At 47.4% G+C, this 19336-nt stretch overlaps 1 protein-coding gene and 1 pseudogene across 2 annotated transcripts in view, besides 5 other annotated features; both read left to right on the plus strand.

The window, feature by feature from the left end:
* RPL32P31 (ribosomal protein L32 pseudogene 31) lies at positions 5442–5947 on the plus strand (annotated as a pseudogene).
* Positions 7824–8650: an enhancer, noted in NCBI's record as "NANOG-H3K27ac-H3K4me1 hESC enhancer chr17:78518332-78519158 (GRCh37/hg19 assembly coordinates)". NCBI's record gives its function as "activates a minimal SCP1, AML or CMV promoter by ChIP-STARR-seq in naive H9 embryonic stem cells {active_cell/tissue: H9 hESC(naive)}" and the evidence as "EXISTENCE:reporter gene assay evidence [ECO:0000049][PMID:30033119]".
* Positions 7984–8343: an enhancer, noted in NCBI's record as "active region_12937". NCBI's record gives its function as "activates an Ori minimal core promoter by ATAC-STARR-seq in GM12878 lymphoblastoid cells {active_cell/tissue: GM12878}" and the evidence as "EXISTENCE:reporter gene assay evidence [ECO:0000049][PMID:35858748]".
* RPTOR (regulatory associated protein of MTOR complex 1) overlaps positions 8130–19336 on the plus strand; it is a 421531-nt gene continuing 410324 nt past the window's right edge. For both annotated transcript variants that reach the window (NM_020761.3, NM_001163034.2), the window contains exon 1: positions 8130–9083. In NM_020761.3, the coding sequence (NP_065812.1) occupies positions 8922–9083 (162 nt within the window). In that variant the 5' untranslated portion in view covers positions 8130–8921. The remainder of the gene's footprint in view (positions 9084–19336) is intronic.
* Positions 8624–8723: an enhancer, noted in NCBI's record as "active region_12938". NCBI's record gives its function as "activates an Ori minimal core promoter by ATAC-STARR-seq in GM12878 lymphoblastoid cells {active_cell/tissue: GM12878}" and the evidence as "EXISTENCE:reporter gene assay evidence [ECO:0000049][PMID:35858748]".
* Positions 8624–9477: a biological region, named in NCBI's record as "NANOG-H3K27ac-H3K4me1 hESC enhancer GRCh37_chr17:78519159-78519985".
* Positions 8651–9477: an enhancer, noted in NCBI's record as "NANOG-H3K27ac-H3K4me1 hESC enhancer chr17:78519159-78519985 (GRCh37/hg19 assembly coordinates)". NCBI's record gives its function as "activates a minimal SCP1, AML or CMV promoter by ChIP-STARR-seq in naive H9 embryonic stem cells {active_cell/tissue: H9 hESC(naive)}" and the evidence as "EXISTENCE:reporter gene assay evidence [ECO:0000049][PMID:30033119]".

The following is a 19336-nucleotide window of genomic DNA, read 5'->3' on the forward strand; positions in this document are numbered from 1 at the left end:
CGCCCAGGCTGGAGTGCAGTGGCTCGATCTCGGCTCACTGCAAGCTCCGCCTCCCCGGTTCATGCCATTTCCCTGCCTCAGCCTCCCAAGTAGCTGGGACTACAGGCACCCGCCACCACGCCCGGCTAATTTTTTTTTAATTAATTAATTTATTTTTTTATTGATCATTCTTGGGTGTTTCTTGCAGAGGGGGATTTGGCAGGGTCATAGGACAATAGTGGAGGGAAGGTCAGCAGATAAACAAGTGAACAAAGGTCTCTGGTTTTCCTAGGCAGAGGACCCTGCGGCCTTCCGCAGTGTTTGTGTCCCTGGGTACTTGAGATTAGGGAGTGGTGATGACTCTTAAGGAGCATGCTGCCTTCAAGCATCTGTTTAACAAAGCACATCTTGCACCGCCCTTAATCCATTTAACCCTGAGTGGACACAGCACATGTTTCATAGAGCACAGGGTTGGGGGTAAGGTCACAGATCAACAGGATCCCAAGGCAGAAGAATTTTTCTTAGTACAGAACAAAATGAAAAGTCTCCCATGTCTACTTCTTTCTACACAGACACGGCAACCATCTGATTTCTCAATCTTTTCCCCACCTTTCCCCCTTTTCTATTCCACAAAGCCGCCATTGTCATCATGGCCCGTTCTCAATGAGCTGTTGGGTACACCTCCCAGACGGGGTGGTGGCCGGGCAGAGGGGCTCCTCACTTCCCAGTAGGGGCGGCCGGGCAGAGGCGCCCCTCTCCTCCCGGACGGGGCGGTTGGCTGGGCGGGGGCTGACCCCCCACCTCCCTCCCGGACGGGGTGGCTGCCGGGCAGAGACGCTCCTCACTTCCCAGACGGGGTGGCTGCCCGACGGAGGGGCTCCTCACTTCTCAGACGGGGTGGCTGCAGGGCGGAGGGACTCCTCACCTCCCAGACGGGGTCGCGGCCGGGCAGAGGCTGCAGTCTCGGCACTTTGGGGGGCCAAGGCAGGCGGCTGGGAGGTGGAGGTTGTAGCGAGCCGAGATCACGCCACTGCACTGCAGCCTGGGCACCATTGAGCACTGAGTGAACGAGACTCCGTCTGCAATCCCGGCACCTCGGGAGGCCGAGGCTGGCAGATCACTCGCGGTTAGGAGCTGGAGACCAGCCTGGCCAACACAGCGAAACCCCGTCTCCACCAAAAAAATACGAAAACCAGTCAGGCGTGGCAGCGCGCGCCTGCAATCGCAGGCACTCGGCAGGCTGAGGCAGGAGAATCAGGCAGGGAGGTTGCAGTGAGCCGAGATGGCAGCAGTACAGTCCAGCTTCGGCTCGGCATGAGAGGGAGACCGTGGAAAGAGAGGGAGAGGGAGACCGTGGGGAGAGGGAGCGGGAGCGGGGGAGGGGGAGGGGGAGGGTTCTTTTTCTTTTTTATTATTTTTTGAGATAGGGTCTCTGTTGCTTAGGCTGGAGTGCAGTAGCGTAATCTCAGCTCATTGCAGCCTCCACCTCCTGTATATAAGCAATTCTCATGCCCCAGCCTCCCATGCAGCTGGGATTACAGGCATGCACCACCACACCCGGCTAATTTTTTTGTGTTTTTTACATAGAGACGGGGTTTCGTCATGTTGGCCAGGCTGGTCTCGAACTCCCCACCTCAGGTGATCCGCCTGCCTCGGCCTCACAAAGTGCTGGGATTACAGGCATGAGCCACTGCACCCGGCCCCTTTTTTCTTTTTAAATCTGCCATGGGTACAGACCACATCTTTGTGATTCTACCTTTAGGATCTGGGGGAGGAAGGAAGGGACTCCCAATAATGGGATGTTTGACCTCCAACGGACACTGTACCTTCATCCCTTCTCCACAAAGAATCCGTAGGGCCGTAGACAGCAGCGTCTGATGCCGTAAAGCCTTGCAGATGGCTCCCCAAGTCCATCCGGACTCATCGGTCAGGGCGCCCAGGCTGGAAGGCCACCCAGCGGGGACTGGGCCTGGGCACCTGCTCTCCCAGCTGCTTTGCCCTTGTCTTGCTCCACATGGCAGGCGTCTCAGAGAGGCTCTTCACTGCCCTTCGCAAAACAGCCCAGGGTGGGAAGGAGAGGCTGGGGTGCAGGTCCCAGCTCCGTGTTGGGCTCTCAGGCAGTCCCCTCCCTGATGCATCTCCTTCTCGGCTCTGTCTTTGCCGTGTTTTCCTTGGCTGGCTTTTTAAGGCTAGGGCTATGCAAAAATCCTCACTTCTGAAGGAAGAAATGTGGACAGTGGGTGAAGTTTATTCAGTAAGAGGCACTTTTCACCACAGTCCCTATGCTACCCAGGGACCCTTTTAAAAATGGGAATAACTTTGTTTCTGCTAATTGATCTACATGCTTATTATATAAAAAAATGAATAAAATAGAAAGGTGTGCTGTAGAAGGTGAAAATCACATGCATAAATACCACCATATTTTTAGACGGGTGGAGAGGGGGAGACAGCCTTGCTGGGCTCCTGGCAGCCTCACATTCCCAGCTGAAGGCAATGCTGTGGCCGTGTTACCTCCTTTTCCTTCCTCTTCTCACTTCACTGTCAACAAAGCATCTGACCTGCAGGGGGGAGTGGCTCGGGTTTTACTAAAAACGGAGTCATGATGCTCAGACAAAAGCGACGTTCTTCATGTCTATTTTGGTTTCCTTTAAGTTAAGCATAGATTTTTCTGGAAAGGACCGGAGCTGGCTGTTCTCCCTGCATGGAAAACAACAGCTCAGCGAAGCACCTGGTTTTCTCAAGTTCCCTGACCTCCAGCCTTGCTCCTGATTCTTGATGACAAAACACATTCAGTGCCCTTGATTGATTTAGCAGAGAAGTGGCAATGCTGCCGCATGGAACGCAGCCCATTCTGCCTGTGAATGGAATGCCTCGGCTGTGATGGTCTTCTGTTTTGGGAAAAGATTAGGTCAGTTGCAGTGGGTCAATGCTGAGCTCGGAGACTGAATATCCAGCCACCTTAGTTCTTCCTGGTAAAGGCTATTTATCTGAGCCATTTATGCAACCCCCACCCCCTGCATTTCTCCCTGCATTCATTTCTGCCTTCTGTCATATTTGCCCCCCACACTCAGGTTTTTATATTTGTTCTCTTGCTCACTTTGCTGTATCTTTAATTCCATTTGTCGAACAGTCTAAGTTTTAGGGTAAGAAGGAGTCACCTGGTCTACCTTTACATGGTAGGACAAGGTGCCCCACTCTGTTCAAGCAGGTTATTCTGCTTTTTTTTTTTTTTTTTTTTTTTTTTGAGACAGAGTTTTGCTCGATTGCCCAGGCTGGAGTGCAGTGGTGCAATCTCAGCTCACTGCAGCCTCAAACTCCTGGGCTCAAGCCATCCTCCCACCTCAGCCTCCCTAGTGGTTGGTACTACAGACGCATGTCACCATGACTGGCTAATTTAAACAATTTTTTTTGTTGTTGAGGCCAGGTGTGGTGGCTCATGACTGTAATCCCAGCACTTTGGGAGGCTGAGGCAGGTGGATCACCTGAGATCAAGAGTTCAAGACCAGCCTGGCAACATGGTAAAACTCTGTCTCTACTAAAAATACAAAAATTAGCTAGGCGTGGTGGTGGGCGCCTATAATCCCAGCTACTCTGGAGGCTGAGGCTGGAGAATCACTTGAACCTGGGAGGCAGAGTTTGCAGTGAGCTGAGATCACGCCACTGCACTCCAGTCTGGGCAACAGAGCAAGACACCATCTCAAAAAAAAAGAATTATTATTATTTTTTTTTTGTCGAGACAGGGTTTCCCGGTGTTGCCTAGGCTAGTCTCAAACTCTTGGGCTCAAACAAACCTCCCACCTCAGCTTCCCAAAGTGTGGGATTACAGGTGTGAGCTACTGCGCATGGTCTGTTCCACTCTTTTTGGATCCTAGCTGGGCCTGGAAGCCCCTTCAGCCCCACATCTGCAGGCTGACGTTCACCACCAGCAGGAGGCTTTCGTGGCATGTGGTCTTACAAACACCTCTGTGTTCAAGTCTTGAATAAGTGACTGTAAGAGACTCATGGAGCAGGTTGTTGCCAACACCCTCCCCCACTTTCTTTCTTAATTTCTGCATTTTTTAAAAATTAAGATGGGATCTTGGTCTACTGACTAGGCTGGAGTGCCGTGGTGCAATCATAGCTCACTGAAGCCTCAAATTCCTGGGCTCAAATTCCTGCTTCAACCTCACAAGTAGCTGGGACCACAGGTATAAATATTAAATTTTTTTTTTTGGTAGAGACAGGGTCTCACTATTTTGCCCAGGCTGGTCATGACCGTTTTCATAGCTTGAATCAAACCAGGTTTGTGTGTTTTCTGAGATTCCTAACATTTTGTTTTTAAGATTAAAGTATTTTAGCTGGACACGGTGGCTCATGCCTGTAATCCCAGCACTTTGGGAGGCCAAGGCGGGTGGATCGCCTGAGGTCAGGAGTTCAAGACCAGCCTGGCCAACATGGTGAAACCCCGTCTATACTAAAATTACAAAAATTAGCCAGGCGTGGTGGCGGGCACCTGTAATCCCAGCTACTCGGGAGGCTGAGGCAGGAAAATCGCCTGAACCCGGGAGGCGGAGGTTGCAGCGAGCCAAGATTGCGCCACTGCACTCCAGCCTGGGCGACAAGAGCAAGACTCTGTCTCAAAAAAAAAAAAAAAAAAAAAGGATCTTATTTAAAGTCTCTGTGGACAATAGATGTCCTTGCTTGTGAAGAACTGGAGACATTGGAAATTGGAACTGCAGCCCCGAGTGGCCAGCCCACCACATGCCACAGTCATGGAATCACCCAGGTGAGACAAGTCAGCCCTTGAATTTCCAGGCTGCCATTACTCACAGATGCTCACTGCCTTTCAAAAACCTAGAGCCACTTCCAAATGCTTGGCTGGGACTTGAAGAGAATCATCCGTGACATACTAGAACGAGGTTTCTTTTAAATGTCAAGATGCCATAAAATGATTCAGGCCCATCCTTGAACCTTCAGGGTGAGAGCTGAGCAGTCACAAGCCCCTTTCTGGTCTTTACATGAATCACAGAATTTCAAACTGGAAGGATCCTTAGAAATTCGCCTTCTCCAAGTTCCTGATGTCACAGACGTGGAGACCAAGGGTGGAGGAGGGCAGAGGCTTTGCTGAAATCTGCAGGAATTGGTGGCAGGTTGGGGACCATAGAATGTGTGTGTGTCTTCATCCTCAGTCCAGGACCCGAGTGGACCCCTGGCTCGGGGTCACATGTGTTAAACAGTAGAGGGTGTGTTTTGTTCTGCTGTTTTGAGGAGAAGGTGAGTCTCTTTCTGCTTTGTCAGATGGAAGTCTGGACAATTACTTCATAGCATTCATTCATTTGCCACACATATTGATTAAGGGCCCAATATGGGACCCGAACTGAATCACTGCAGGAGACTTTAGAGCGAATATTGTCTAAGACCTCCAAGTCTGCCTGGCTGTGAACTATCCTCAGAGCGACCTGATTTAAGAATTCAGATTCTGGCTCTCTTCCTTGGCGCTGCCTATGGAGGGGGCAGCCATCTCCTCCTTGGCATCATGGCCGCCCTCAGACCCCCTGTGAAGCCCAAGATCATCAAAAAGAGAACCAAGAAGTTCATCCGGCACCAGTCAGACCGATGTGTCACGATTAAGCGTAACTGGCAGAAACCCAGAGGTATTGACAACAGGGTTGGTAGAAGGTTCAAGGGCCAGATCTTGATGCCCAACATTGGTTATGGGAGCAACAAAAAAACAAAGCACACGCTGCCCACTGGCTTCTGGAAGTTCAGTCTACAACGTCAAGGAGCTGGAAGTGCTGCTGATGTACAACACTTCTTACTGCGCTGAGATCGCTCACAGTGTTTCCTCCAGGAACCGCGAAGCCACCACAGAAAGAGCCGCCCAGCTGGCCATCAGAGTCACTGACCCCCATGCCAGTCTGCGCAGTGAAGAAAACGAGCAGACAGCTCATGTGCATGTTTTGTGTTTAAATAAAACTGTAAAAACTGCAAAAAAAAAAAAATGCAGATTCTGAATCCCGGTCTCCCTGCTCCCCGATCTGGGGCTCTGGGTTGGAAGCTGGGCATCCTGAATTTTAGTTTCCTGGGCGATTCTGACCACCTGGTGGGTTTGGACTTCAACGTGCTCACTGACACCTTCGTTTAGAATTTCAGATACGAAAAATGGATTTCCCAAGGTCACACACGTTATAGGTGAGGAAACTGAGTCTCACACAGATTCAGTGGGCTTTCCCAGGTCACAGAGCTAGTTAGGGATGAATGGGTTTAGCGTTGCTGCTTTTCTGTAACTGTGACTTCCTGCAAGAGCTGCTGGAATGCAGCTGTCTACAGCCACCGGAGGTGGGGAGCAAGGTGACAAGGCAGAGGACAGGAGTGATTTTGTTGCCTTCAGATGAGAACGGGGTCTTCCTAAGACCCTGCATCCCTGAAGCCTCTGCTGGTAACTGTGAGGATAGTCTCTGCCAACAGAGAGGGTGCCCTGAGTTTCAATAGGAGAATTGGCTCCATGGGGTGTAATAACCAAACGAATGTGCGGAATGACAATGATTTAATCCTGTAGCCTTTATTAAAGGCTTGCTTTGTGCTGGGTGAGAAAGGTCTGGGATTGTATTCTTCATTCTCATTTTGAAAGGAACACAAATGCCATCAAGATTTTGATATGGATGGCCACATGTGTCTAAGCCCCGGAAAACCATCCTGAGAGATCAAGACCATCTTGGCCAGGATGGTCTTGAACTCCTGACCTCATGATCCACCCACCTCAGCCTCCCAAAGTGCTGGGATTACAGGCGTGCACCACCACGCCTGGCCTCGTTTTATTCTTATTTATTTATTTATTTATTTATTTATTTTTGAGATGGAATCTCACTCTGTCACCCAGGCTGGAATGCAGTGGTGTAATCTCGGCTCACTGCAACCTCTGCCTCCCAGGTTCCAGCTCTTCTCCTGCCTCAGCCTCCCGAGCAGCTGAGACTACAGACGCACGCCACCACGCCCAGCTAATTTTTGTATTTTTATTAGAGACGGCGTTTCACCATGTTGGCCAGGCTGGTCTCGAACTCCTGAACTCGTGATCCACCCTCCTCGGCTTCCCAAAGGGCTAGGATTATAGGCGTGAGCCACGGTGCCCTGCCTACATTTGGTTTTATAGTCCACCTTACACAGTTCTCTATACATTGTAAATGAGCCAAATTTCCTGAATTGAAAAAGAGAGTCACACAAGAGGCTTGCCTCCACGCACAGACATGTAGTTTTAGATGTCTGCACGTGAAGCTATATCAAAATAAGAATAAACTACTGCTACCAAGAAGTGGGAAAAAAATTTAAAAAGGATAAACTGCTCAGAAAACGAAACAGATTAAACAAAAAATTGTATTAGATGAAATTTTTTTTCATCGAATCTTGCTCCAGACTCTTCTTCTGTTGCTTCAGACCCTTCTTCATCTGAAGAGTCTTGCTCTGTCTCCCAGGCTGGAGTGCAGTGGCACGATCTTGGCCCACTGCAACCTCCGCCTCCCGGGTTCAAGCAATTCTCCTGCCTCAGCCTCCTGAGTAGCTGGGATTACAGGCGCGCACCACCACGCCCAGCTAATTTGTGTATTTTTAGTAGGGACGGGGTTTCACCATGTTGGCCAGGCTGGTCTCGATCTCTTGACCTCGTGATCTGCCCGCTTCGGCCTCCCAAAGTGCTGGGATTACAGGCGTGAGCCACGGCGCCCGGCCTTTCACTTGGTTCTCTATGAAAAAATTAAAGAGAAAATCTGATTGACACTGTGGAGGACACTACACTCCAAAAAAAAAAGTACTATATTTTCTAATATTATCAGTGCTTTTTAATATTTTCTAATATTATCAGTGAAGCTTTTGCCGCTTTTTCAAAATCTGGAAGAAACAAGGCGGTTGATTCCTTTAATTTCAGGAGCATGTAACTTCATTTATAATGACAATGTTTTTGAAAAAATAAATTAAACCGACAGTTTCATTTGTAGGATTGACTTTAATAACACGCCTCTACTGAACAAATGGCGATTAACTGGGGAAAACGGAATTATGGTAACCGAGGTAACGGGGTCGGGGACTCTTTCTCCTTCGCTGCATGCTGGGTGGCGGGGAGAGACCGCTCTGAGGAGGTTTGGTCTGTCGGCCACGCCGTAGGCCGCGGTGCATTCTGGGTCCTGGCAATATGGCGTCCTCCTTGATGGGCTGATGAGATGAGTTTCACTGTAGCTCCAAACCAGAGGGCAAAGCTCCCATGACCCAATAAGCCCACATTGTCCCTTTCCTCCGTGGTTCCGTGTCGCCCGTTTCTCAGGACTCGTTCTCAGGCAGGAGAGAGCCTCGGGGCTGAAGGCCAGGACCAGCCAGGCCGCGCGGACCTGAGGTTGAGGAACCGGGTGCAGGCGAGCACGATGGGCCGGTCGTGGCTCTGGTTGCAGCAGCTCAGACGAGTGCGGGACCCGCAGGGCTGAGAGTGGCTGGAGGAGACCCAGGGCCCTTTGAACCCGATCCCTTGGCCGGAGACCTCAGCCCAGTCGGCCCAGTGGGCGAACCGGCACCAAGAGCGGCCTGCCTGTCTTCGGAACTGCTGAGGCGGTGGAGGCCGAGAGCAGGGTCATCGTGAGGCCTGAAGTCTCTTACGCTTTTGGCAGCTCCCCTCGCAGCCCCTCTGGAAACGTACAGCCTCAGGAGCAGCCAGTGGCTTGGGACCTGGGGTGGTGTGTGTCTGCGGAGCTTCTTGGGCTGCCCCATTTCCTAGCGGCCCCCACCTCCCCACTTCCCGCTCAGAGTTAGAGATAAGGATCTCAGACTTTTGCCTGAGTAAGGGTCTCCGCACTCTTTATCCATTTGGTTTTCGATTTCCCGTTTTTGTTTCTTATTTCACCAATTCTGGTACACGCTAGTTTTTAAGGCTGGAGGTTCTCGAGCGCTTGCTGCCAAGGACTCCCCCACCCCCTCCCCCACTGATGGAGTCCGAAATGCTGCAATCGCCTCTTCTGGGCCTGGGGGAGGAAGATGAGGCTGATCTTACAGACTGGAACCTACCTTTGGCTTTTATGAAAAAGAGGCACTGTGAGAAAATTGAAGGCTCCAAATCCTTAGCTCAGAGCTGGAGGATGAAGGATCGGGTAAGTGGATTCTGAAGGCACCCCTTGAACTTGGTAGTTTCCCCAACAAAGAAAGTTTACAGCCCGAAAAGTGTCCTTGGGAAAGCGCCGACATTTCCCCCTAGCCACACGTTGTAAGTCAACTAGAAAGCAAAAGCCATTTCAGACTGCAGTTTTTGGTTGAAAATGGAAAATGCTGTTTTGGTTAGTCATTATTCACTGGGTAGTGTTAATTCAATTCCAACTAAGTTCTAATTCAGATAATAAAAGTTAAGCAAATTTGAAAATAGAGCATTGCGAGTATTTACATGCTCTTTGGCATACTACTTAGTTCTGTAAACACTTAGAGGAAGGACAACGTGCGATATAATCTTTATACCCACATGATTAGTCTACTTTTTAAAATATCCAAGCTGGGTGAAGTGCAGAAGTCTGATATACTATGCTAGGAAATGAGATTACTGGAAAATGTTCAACTAGTAACAAATTAGTGCAAAGTTATTATAAAGTTACACTGAACTTCATTCTAGTCTTCTAAACAATTTCTCTTGAAGCTAGATTTTCCTCCTTTTATGTAGTGTCCTGTTGCTGTAACTTGGAAACAGGATTTCTTTAATCGTGAGTTAGGGTATGAGGCGTCGAGACTTGGGTGCAGGTTTTAGGGTGTCCGCATGGTGTTTGGAGTGTGGAGAGTGACTCACAAGCAGCTGGTAGGAAAGAAAACAGCCGAATTTTGTTGGATTTGTCCTTCATAAAACACCCATCTATTTCCTGGCCTCAAAAGCAAAAGGGTAGTACTGCTTCTCCTCTATGCACACTTATAATTTGTCTTTTTGTAAGTTATTTTCTCCCTCCAGGCTGCTTTTATTTGCACATTTCAGTGGTATAAAAGAGGAAGTTGGTGTTACAATGTTTGATTTTCTCTAGGCTTATGTATATGTTTATGGAATATTATTGTTTTTTAGTATATGATGTTGAACATATATAAGATTACACTTCTGGGCTGGGCGCGGTGGCTCACGCCTGTAATCTCAGCACTTTGGGAGGCCAAGGCAGGCCTCCCAAAGGCAGGCGGATCACCTGAGGTCAGGAGTTTGAGACCAGCCCGGCCAACATGGTGAAACCCTGTCTGTACTAAAAATACAAAAATTAGCTGGGCTTGGTGGCAGGTGCCCGTAATCCCAGCTACTCGAGAAGCTGAGGCTGGAGAATCGCTTGAACCTGGGAGGCAGAGGTTGCAGTGAGCCGAAATCGCACCATTGCACTCCAGCCTAGGGGACAGAGTGAGACTGTGTCTCAAAAATAAATAAATAAATAAAACTTCTGGTAACTCTAGTCAGTCAGTCAGTAGTAACCAGTTAGCTACTGACTTGGCTTACTTCTAAAAGGTTAGGAAAATTTGTTTCATCCAAAAGCATTTTAAGGAGTTAAATAAGTTAGTCATTGGGGGAGGTTGTATAAATTCTATCTTATGGACATCTTTAGTAGTAACTATATAGTTAAAAGCTTTTGTGGTTGCTATACATATATGAAAAGACTTTTTAAAAAATTCTTTGTGGAGGGCAGTTTTTTTGTTGTTGTTATTTTGAAATGTGGTTCTCTCTGCTGTCCTAAACCTATGTTCCAACAGTTTGAAACTGATTAATGGGTATACGTTTGACCTTTTAATTAAAACATTAATTTGTGAATGATCAACATTCCCTAATAAGCTTTTCACAGGTTGTTAAGAGAAACAAAAGTTCTGTGACTCTTAGTGACTACTGAGATTGCTGCTTAGAAAGGAGCTGGGGAGAAAGTTTGCTGTATCTGTTTTTCGGTGGAGAAAATCAGCAGCTAACATCTTCAGTTGAGTGTGTGGGAGTTTGGAATCTTGTCATCTCTTCCCTCTTCCAAAGGTCAGGTCCTTTGGAATCTTGTCATCTCTTCCCTCAAGGACCGTATCACACATGCTATAGGACAGAAGTTGCAAACTCAAATGATATTGAGTGGGGATGGTAGCATAAGAGAATGAAACAGGCCACATTTAAGAAGAATAATGGCATAGGTTCAAAGATAAAGACAAATGGCAGCTGACATTTGGCACAGTGTGTGTGACAGTTTCTGGAGGGTGGGAACAGGGGCTCCCTGATGCCATAACTGAAGGGGCAACTGGGCTATGGCCAGGCCTCTCTCTTTGTCTTTGAGAAGTCAGCAAACTTTTTTTTTCTTTTATTGTAAATATTCATACTAATTCAGATTTATTACCAAACACACTGTAGTCCAACACTGCAGGCTGAACAACCCCATTTGTGGAGTGTTTTTCTGTTTCTTTTTTTTTTTTTTTTTTTTTGAGACAGGGTCTTGCTCTGTCATCCAGGCTGGAGTACAGTGGTGAGATCACACGGCTCACTGCAGCCTCGACCTCCTGGGCCTGAGTGATCCTCTCACCTCAGCCTCCCCAGTAGCTGAGACTATAAGTGTGCGCCAGTGTGTCTGGGGTTGGGGAGTCTCACTGTGTTGCCCAGGCTGGTCTTGAACTCCTGGGATCAAGCAATCCTCCTGCCTTGTCCTCCAAAAATGCTAGGATTACAGGCATCAGCCAACACGCTCAGCCTGGGGTGGTTTTTTTTTTTTTTTTTTTTTTTTTTTGAGATGGAGTTTCATTCTTGTTGCCCAGGCTGGAGTGCAGTGGTGTGGTCTTGACTCACTGCAACCTCCGCCTCCCAGGATCAAGCTATTCTCCTGCCTCAGCCTCCCAAGTAGCTGGGATTACAGGCGCCTGGCTAGTTTTTTTTGTATTTTTAGTGGAGATGGGGTTTCACCATGTTGGCCAGGCTGGTCCTGAACTCCTGACCTCGGGTCGTTCACCTGCCTCAGCCTCCCAAAGTGCTGGGATTACAGGTGTGAGCCACAGCACCTGGCCCTGGGGTGTTTTTTGACCAGTGGGTTACCTACGTAAGAATCTCTGTTACCCAGGCCTCCAGGCCACACAGTCCCACTGTGCTGGACGTAGCCTCCAGTCTGGTGGAGCAGCATGTTTGTAAAGTGAAATGTGTGGGCGTGGTTGTTCTGTGCTAGGAGCTACATCAACTACTTCCTGGTGGCCACTGACTGTCCTAAATGCAAGCTGAGATTTTGCTTCTTCTTGTGGTTAATGTGCAATTCCATACGCTTTTATTTTGTACATATATTCATTAGTTCTTACTGGCTCCTATTTAGTAGCCTTGCTACAGATTCCTCAAATTGACATCTTTACCAAAGTTGACTGACTGATGACTCCCAAGAAGTTTTTTTTGCCACCCAACACTTGGCATCCTTCCAGAGCTACAGCCCTTGCCCGCTCTCAGTTGGGATTCCTGCCATCTTTGTTTTGAATCAGTCTTGGTTTTCAAATGCCACTTTTACCACATTTTAATTTCTAAGTTACTGTTACTTTAAAATTATTATCAAGTTAGTTTGTTGTTTGGTTAATTCTACTATGTATAGTGAATGAGGCATATATGTATCCATAGTGTTTTTAGCTTGCAATTTTCAAATAACTAGACATATATGAATTGTAGTTCAAAATGAATCATTCACAGACCTTTGGCTAAAACAGATACGTATATATCTCCCCTATTTGTGTTTTTGGCTCACTGCAACCTCCGCCTCTTGGGTTCAAGCGATTCTCCTGCCGCAGCCTCCCGAGTAGCTGGGATTACAGGTGCCCACCACCATGCCTGGCCAATTTTTTTCATATTTTTATTAGAGACGGGGTTTCACTATGTTGGCCAGGCTGGTCTCAAACTCCTGACCTCAGGTGATCCACCTGCCTCGGCCTCCCAAAGTGCTGGGATTACAGGTGTGAGCCACCGTGCCTGGTCTAACTGTGATACTTTATAGTTATCACAGAGTTCATTTTCCTACTGGAAAGTGGACAGTGGGGATAACTGGTCTCAGATGACTCTTTTGCCTGGAATATGTGGGATGGAATGACGGGTGCTTGAGAGCTATTGCTCTGAAAGTGTTGACAGACATGCTATGTCTACACACATGTAGACTGACAGACACTCTGTCTACATGCATGTAGCACCCCTGGCAGACACATTCTGTGTACACATGTGTGGTGTCATTGTCAGACACTATTTCCATGCATGTGTAGGACCACTGACAGGCATCCTATGTCTACATGTGTAGGGGATGAAACGGTTAGATGAAGAAGGCTATTTTGTAAACCATTCTCTAGACTCAGTTGCATTGCTCTGTAGCCATACTTTGCCCAGGTCATGGAGGAAGCAGAGTAGATCTGTTCAACTAATACATGGACTGCCAAAGGTTTATGCGGTCTTTTCAGCAAGGGTAATAGCAATCCTTCATAATCTACACTACCCCCTCTGCTTTCCTCACCTTGCGTCCTCTCCACATTCCAACTGTGCCCTGTTCCACTCCCCTGAGACTGGTCTCCATATGGCCCCAGTTTGTTGCTAAATCTAAAGTTCTCTTCTCTGTCCTTCTCTGTTCTTATTTCACCTCTCAGCAGCATTCCACAATGTGGACCATGGCCTCTTCATAAAGCTCTTTCCTCACTTGCTTCTGTGTCTCCACGAAACTCGGATTTTCCTCTTAGGTCACTAGTTGTTCCTTCTCAGACTCCTTTGCTACCTGACACCTAAATGCAGGGGCACCCCAGGAATTGATCTTGGACCCCATTCTCTGTTCTGGGTGTGCCCCTCCCTAGCAGATCTCATCGGGGCCCATGATTTTAAATAGTGTCTACATGCCAGTGATGCTTAAACCCCCAATCTTTAGTTCTGATCTGGCCTGAAATTTCTGTCTCAGATGCCTACTGCCTGCTTTTTCTTAGTTTTCTCCATCACCGCTTGCCACAACCACCATCCACTCAGTTGTTCAAGCTGTAAGTTTAGAGTTTATCCTTAATTCTTTCCTCTCCCTCTCTTTATCGCCCCATCCAATTCATTAGAACCCATCAGCGTTACTTCCAAAGCATGTCTTACATTGGCCTGCTTCATTTTGTCTCCACTGATGCAGCCCCAGTCCAGGCAGCCACCGTCTCTTGTCTGGACACTGCATTTGTGTCCTGACTGGTCTCCCTATGTCCATTCTTGCCCTACAACCAGTTTTTCACATAGCAGTCAGAGGGATCTTTTATTTATTTTGAAATGGAGTCTCTCCTTGTTTCTCAGGCTGGAGTGCAATGGCGTGATCTCGGCTCACTGCAACCTCCACCTCCCGAGTTCAAGAGATTCTCGTGCCTCAGTCTCCCGAGTAGCTGGGACTACCAGTGCATGACACCATGCCCGGCTGATTTTTTGTATTTTTAGTAGAGATGCGGTTTCACCATGTTGGCCAGGCTGGTCTTGAACTCCTGAGCTCAAGTGATCCTCCCACCTCAGCCTCCCAGAGTGCTGGATTACAGGCGTGAGCCATCACACCTGGCCAGAGGGATTTTTTGAAAGTGTGAAGGGGTGGGTTGCCCCTCCACACCTGTGGGTGTTTCTTGTTAGGTGGGACGAGAGACTTGGAAAAGAAAAAGAAACAGAGACAAAGTATAGAGAGAGAAATAAGGGGACCCAGGGAACCAGCGTTCAGCATATGGAGGATCCCGCCAGCCTCAGAGTTCCCTTAGTATTTATTGATCATTCGTGGGTGTTTCTCCGAGAGGGGGATGTGTCAGGGTCACAAGACAATAGTGGGGAGAGGGTCAGCAGACAAACACGTGAACAAGGGTCTTTGCATCATAGACAAGGTAAAGGATTAAGTGCTGTGCTTTTAGATATGCATACACATAAATATCTCAATGCTTTACAAAGCAGTATTGCTGCCCGCATGTCCCACCTCCAGCCCTAAGGCAGTTTTTCCCTATCTCAGTAGATGGAACGTACAATCGGGTTTTATACCGAGACATTCCATTGCCCAGGGACGGGCAGGAGACAGATGCCTTCCTCTTGTCTCAACTGCAAGAGGCATGCCTTCCTCTTCTACTAATCCTCCTCAGCACAGACCCTTTACGGGTGTCGGGCTGGGGGACGGTCAGGTCTTTCCCTTCCCACGAGGCCATATTTCAGACTATCACATGGGGAGAAACCTTGGACAATACCTGGCTTTCCTAGGCAGAGGTCCCTGTGGCCTTCCGCAGTGTTTGTGTCCCTGGGTACTTGAGATTAGGGAGTGATGATGACTCTTAAGGAGCATGCTGCCTTCAAGCATCTGTTTAACAAAGCACATCTTGCACCGCCCTTAATCCATTTAACCCTGAGTTTGACACAGCACATGTTTCAGAGAGCACGGGGTTGGGGGTAAGGTCATAGATTAACAGAATCTCAAGGCAGAAGAATTTGTCTTAGTACAGAATAAAATGGAGTCTCCTATGTCTACTTCTTTCTATACAGACACAGTAACAATCTGATCTCTCTTGCTTTTCCCCACAAAAGTGTGAATCAGATTCTGTTACTTCCTTACTGGTGGTCTCCATTGGCTTCCTCTGTGCTTAAAGTAGAACTCAGACTCCTCTTGCTGGTTCACAAAGCCTTCATGATTTGGCCTCTGCCTGCCTTTTCTGCTTCTTGGATAGAAACTCCTGGAATGCTTTTCTCTCTGATCTTTGCACACCTGGCCCCTTCTCGTCGTTCATACTTAGCATCTAGGTCCCTTCCTCAGAGAGGCCCACCATCACCCCATCTGAAGCAGCCACCCTGTCACTCATAAACCCTCCTGATGGCTATTTATTTCTCTGATATTTTTCTCCCTACTTCCTCCTGGAGATGTGAGCTTTTCATCATAAAGCAAGGACCTAGTCTAGTCTATGCTAGTCCATAGGGCAGTGCTTGGCACATAGTAGGGATTCAACAAAACTATACTGATACAAAATGGATAGTTTACAAAAGGCTTCCACATACATTATCTTTAAGGCTCAACAGCACCATAAATTACCTAGGGATCATTCTCTCCGTGTTACTGATGAGGTAACTGACGTTTTAGTTGAATGGCTTACCTAAAGTTACATAAGTAACATGGCTAGCAGTGAGAGGAAGTGGAACCTGTGCAGAGGGAGAAACAAAGTTTAGTTCAAAACAAAACAAAACAAAACTGTATCATAATGTCTCCACTGAAACATTTATGTTAAGAGGTCAGGGGGTTGAAAATAGCAGACCAGCAGACCAACATTCAGCAGACAGAGAAGGATGCTCAGTCTGCTCACAGCATGTGCCCTGTGCACTGGGGCTTCTCCTAGACCCTTGCAGGGATCCACAAGGTCAAAACTGTTTTCATAATAATGGAACACCATTGGCCTTTTCCACTCTGTTGATACCTGCACTGACAGTGCAAAAGTGATGAATCAAGACAGCGGTGCCAAGCTGTACTACTAGTTCCTGATTTCTTTGCCATGCACATGGAGAGAATGTCCTTGCTAATAAAGCAGTGAAAATGATGACTTTTACTAAATCTTGACTGTTAAGCACACATCTTTTTCAGACTGTGTGTGCTGCTCCTTCTCCTGCAGGCAAAGCCCAGTGGCTGCCTGGAGGAGGAGCATCTGCTGCCTTCATGGACGCAGCACGTCCCAAAGGAATCACCGACAGGCCGCCTCTGGATGTTGAGGCCTGTGTCCACGGCAGACGTGTTTTTGAAAATGAACTTAGTGAGCTGTCACTTCAAGGAATACAGCTGACAGTATTTGCTGCCAGTCATGAAATTTGAACCTTCAAGTGAAAATTGGTTTTGGAAAACTTGTATCTGCCGCTGTGAGCCTGGCAGCTTCCCAAGACTTAAAGATGTTTCTGGTGAGATCCATAGTGATATTAATGAATGGAATTAATGTTGTAGAATGAAATGTGCCCACATTTGGAACAGCTGCATAATTCAGTGAACAAATATTTCCAGATGACCAATCCATGATATTATAAAATCATCCATAGGTAAAAGATCCGTTCAATGTTAGACCAGTGGATTTTAATGTAATAGGGTACAAAAAGTTCACCAGAGGATAGGTGTTTTTTTTTCTTTTTTTTTAAGACGGAATCTTGCTCTGTTGCCCAGGTTGGAGTGCAGTGGCGCGATCTCGGCTCACTGCAACCTCCGCCTCCCAGGTTCAAGCAATTCTCCTGCCTCAGCCTCCTGAGTAGTTGGGATTACATGTGCCTGCTACCACGCCTGGCTAATTTTCATATTTTTAGTAGAGATGGGGTTTTGCCATATTGGCCAGGCTGGTCTCGAACTCCTGACTTCAGGTGATCCACCTGCCTTGGCCTCCTAAAGTGCTGGGATTACAGGGGTCAGCCACCACACCCCGCTTGATGTTCTGTTGTGTGCGTGTGTGTATATTTTTTGTTGTTATTTGTTTGTTTCACAGTTCACTGCATCCTTGACCTGGGCTCAAGTGATCCTCCTGCCTCAGCCTCCTGAGTCGCTGGGACTACAGGTGTGAGTCACCATGCCTAGATTTTTTTTTTGGATTTTTTGTAGGGATGGGGTCTCACTATGTTGCCTATAGTGAGAGTTTAAATATTTTATTCAAATAGATTGCAACAGATCTTTAAGAAACTACCACTTACTCAATTTTGTTGTAATATCAAATAATAATATTCTCAATTATTTGGATATTCTGATACTCCTGCCATTATGTATCTTTGTGAGGCCAGATTTTTCTCACATACTTCAACCAAAACAGTGTATTTCAACCCATTGAATGTGGCACCAAAAATGAGAATCCAAGGTGGGGTGCGGTGGCTCACACCTGTAATCCCAGCACTTTGGGAGACTGAGGCGGGCAGATCATGAGGTCAGGAGATCAAGACCATCCTGGCTAACACGATGAAACCCCATCTCTACTAAAAAATACCAAAAATTAGCCGGGCGAGGTGACGGGCGCCTGTAGTCCCAGCTACTTGGGAGGCTGAGGCAGGAGAATGGCGTGAACCCGGGAGGCAGAGCTTGCAGTGAGCTGAGATTGCGCCACTGCACTCCAGCCTGGGTGACAGAGTGAGACTCTGTCTCAAAACAAAACAAAACAAAACAAAACAAACAACAACAACAACAAAAAAAATGAGAATCCAGTTGTCTTCTATGAAGCTGGATATTAAAGAGATTTGCAAAAATCTAAAAAAAGCCACCTGAGACAAGTGACAAGATAACTGACAATTTTTGAAAATATAGTTATTTGTAGAAATGTTATTTATTTGAATATATAATAAGTTTGATTTTTAAGTGAATTCATAAATATATCAATTATGTTTTTCTGTTTTAACCTTCAATACGGAAAATGTTGATAAATGAAACTCATAAAAAAGCTCTTTGAGGGTCTTCAGGAACCTTTAAGACCGTAAAGGGGCCCTGCTGCCAGATGTTTGAGAGTTATTAGTGTAGTTAGAAGAAAGTGGGCCTCATCCTTAGGAAGAAGGGCTTGAGGATATCAGGTGGCTGGTCAGAAATGTCAGGCAGGGCCTTGAAGTGACATTAGATAAGAAACATAAAGGCCCTAATCTGTTGCCCTCTTTCCATTCGCTCTGCCTAAAGAACTGTTGAGGTCTCTGGACTTGGAGCTGGGAGGATGTTTGTGAAGAGCCTGTGTGATTGTGAGGGCAGTGGCCTTACATGTGGCCACCTAGCCCTCCATCAGGTCCTTCTATTGCTCCAGATTTCTAGTGTGTGTCCGGAGGGAGATGCACCACCGCCCACCCAGTAGCTCTTGTGCTGGGAGTGGAGGAACACCCAGTCTGTCTGGAGGAATGTCCACTCTGTCTGGCAAGGAGGAGGTGGCCAGAGGTTCAGCCAAGGTGGACAGCTCACGGGAAGTGTCCTGTCTCTCCAGGGCGCTGCTGCCTAGACAGACTGACAGACACGGTAGCACCAAATTACAATACGCAAGTATAGGTATCAATCATAGTAATTACAGGTGAGAATGACATTATTACGGGGAGCATCTTGATTTAATATTAAATAAGTAAATCATTTGCATTGAACTGCATTTATGAAAGAAATCATCCACATTGACCAGCATTAAACTCCCAGCAGCCAGTGACTTCATGTAGTTGGTGATGGGGAGCTGTCCCAGGATTCCAGCTGGGGAGTTGTTGTGCATAAATTTGTGTTTTGAAATACCTTATTGGCTATGGATGGAGTGGGGTGATTGGAGAGGGGCGAGACTGGAGGTGGGGGCACCAAGTGGAGAGGAGTTGTGCTAATCCAGGTGAGAAGCCCTGGGGGCTGGGCGTGGTGGCTCACATTTGTAATTCCAGCACTTCGGGAGGCTGAGCTGGGAGGATCTAAAAAGTTTTTTGTTTTTTTTTTCTTAAATC

This window comes from Homo sapiens, chromosome 17 (genome assembly GCF_000001405.40).
Source record: "Homo sapiens chromosome 17, GRCh38.p14 Primary Assembly".
NCBI classification, from domain to species: domain Eukaryota; kingdom Metazoa; phylum Chordata; class Mammalia; order Primates; family Hominidae; genus Homo; species Homo sapiens.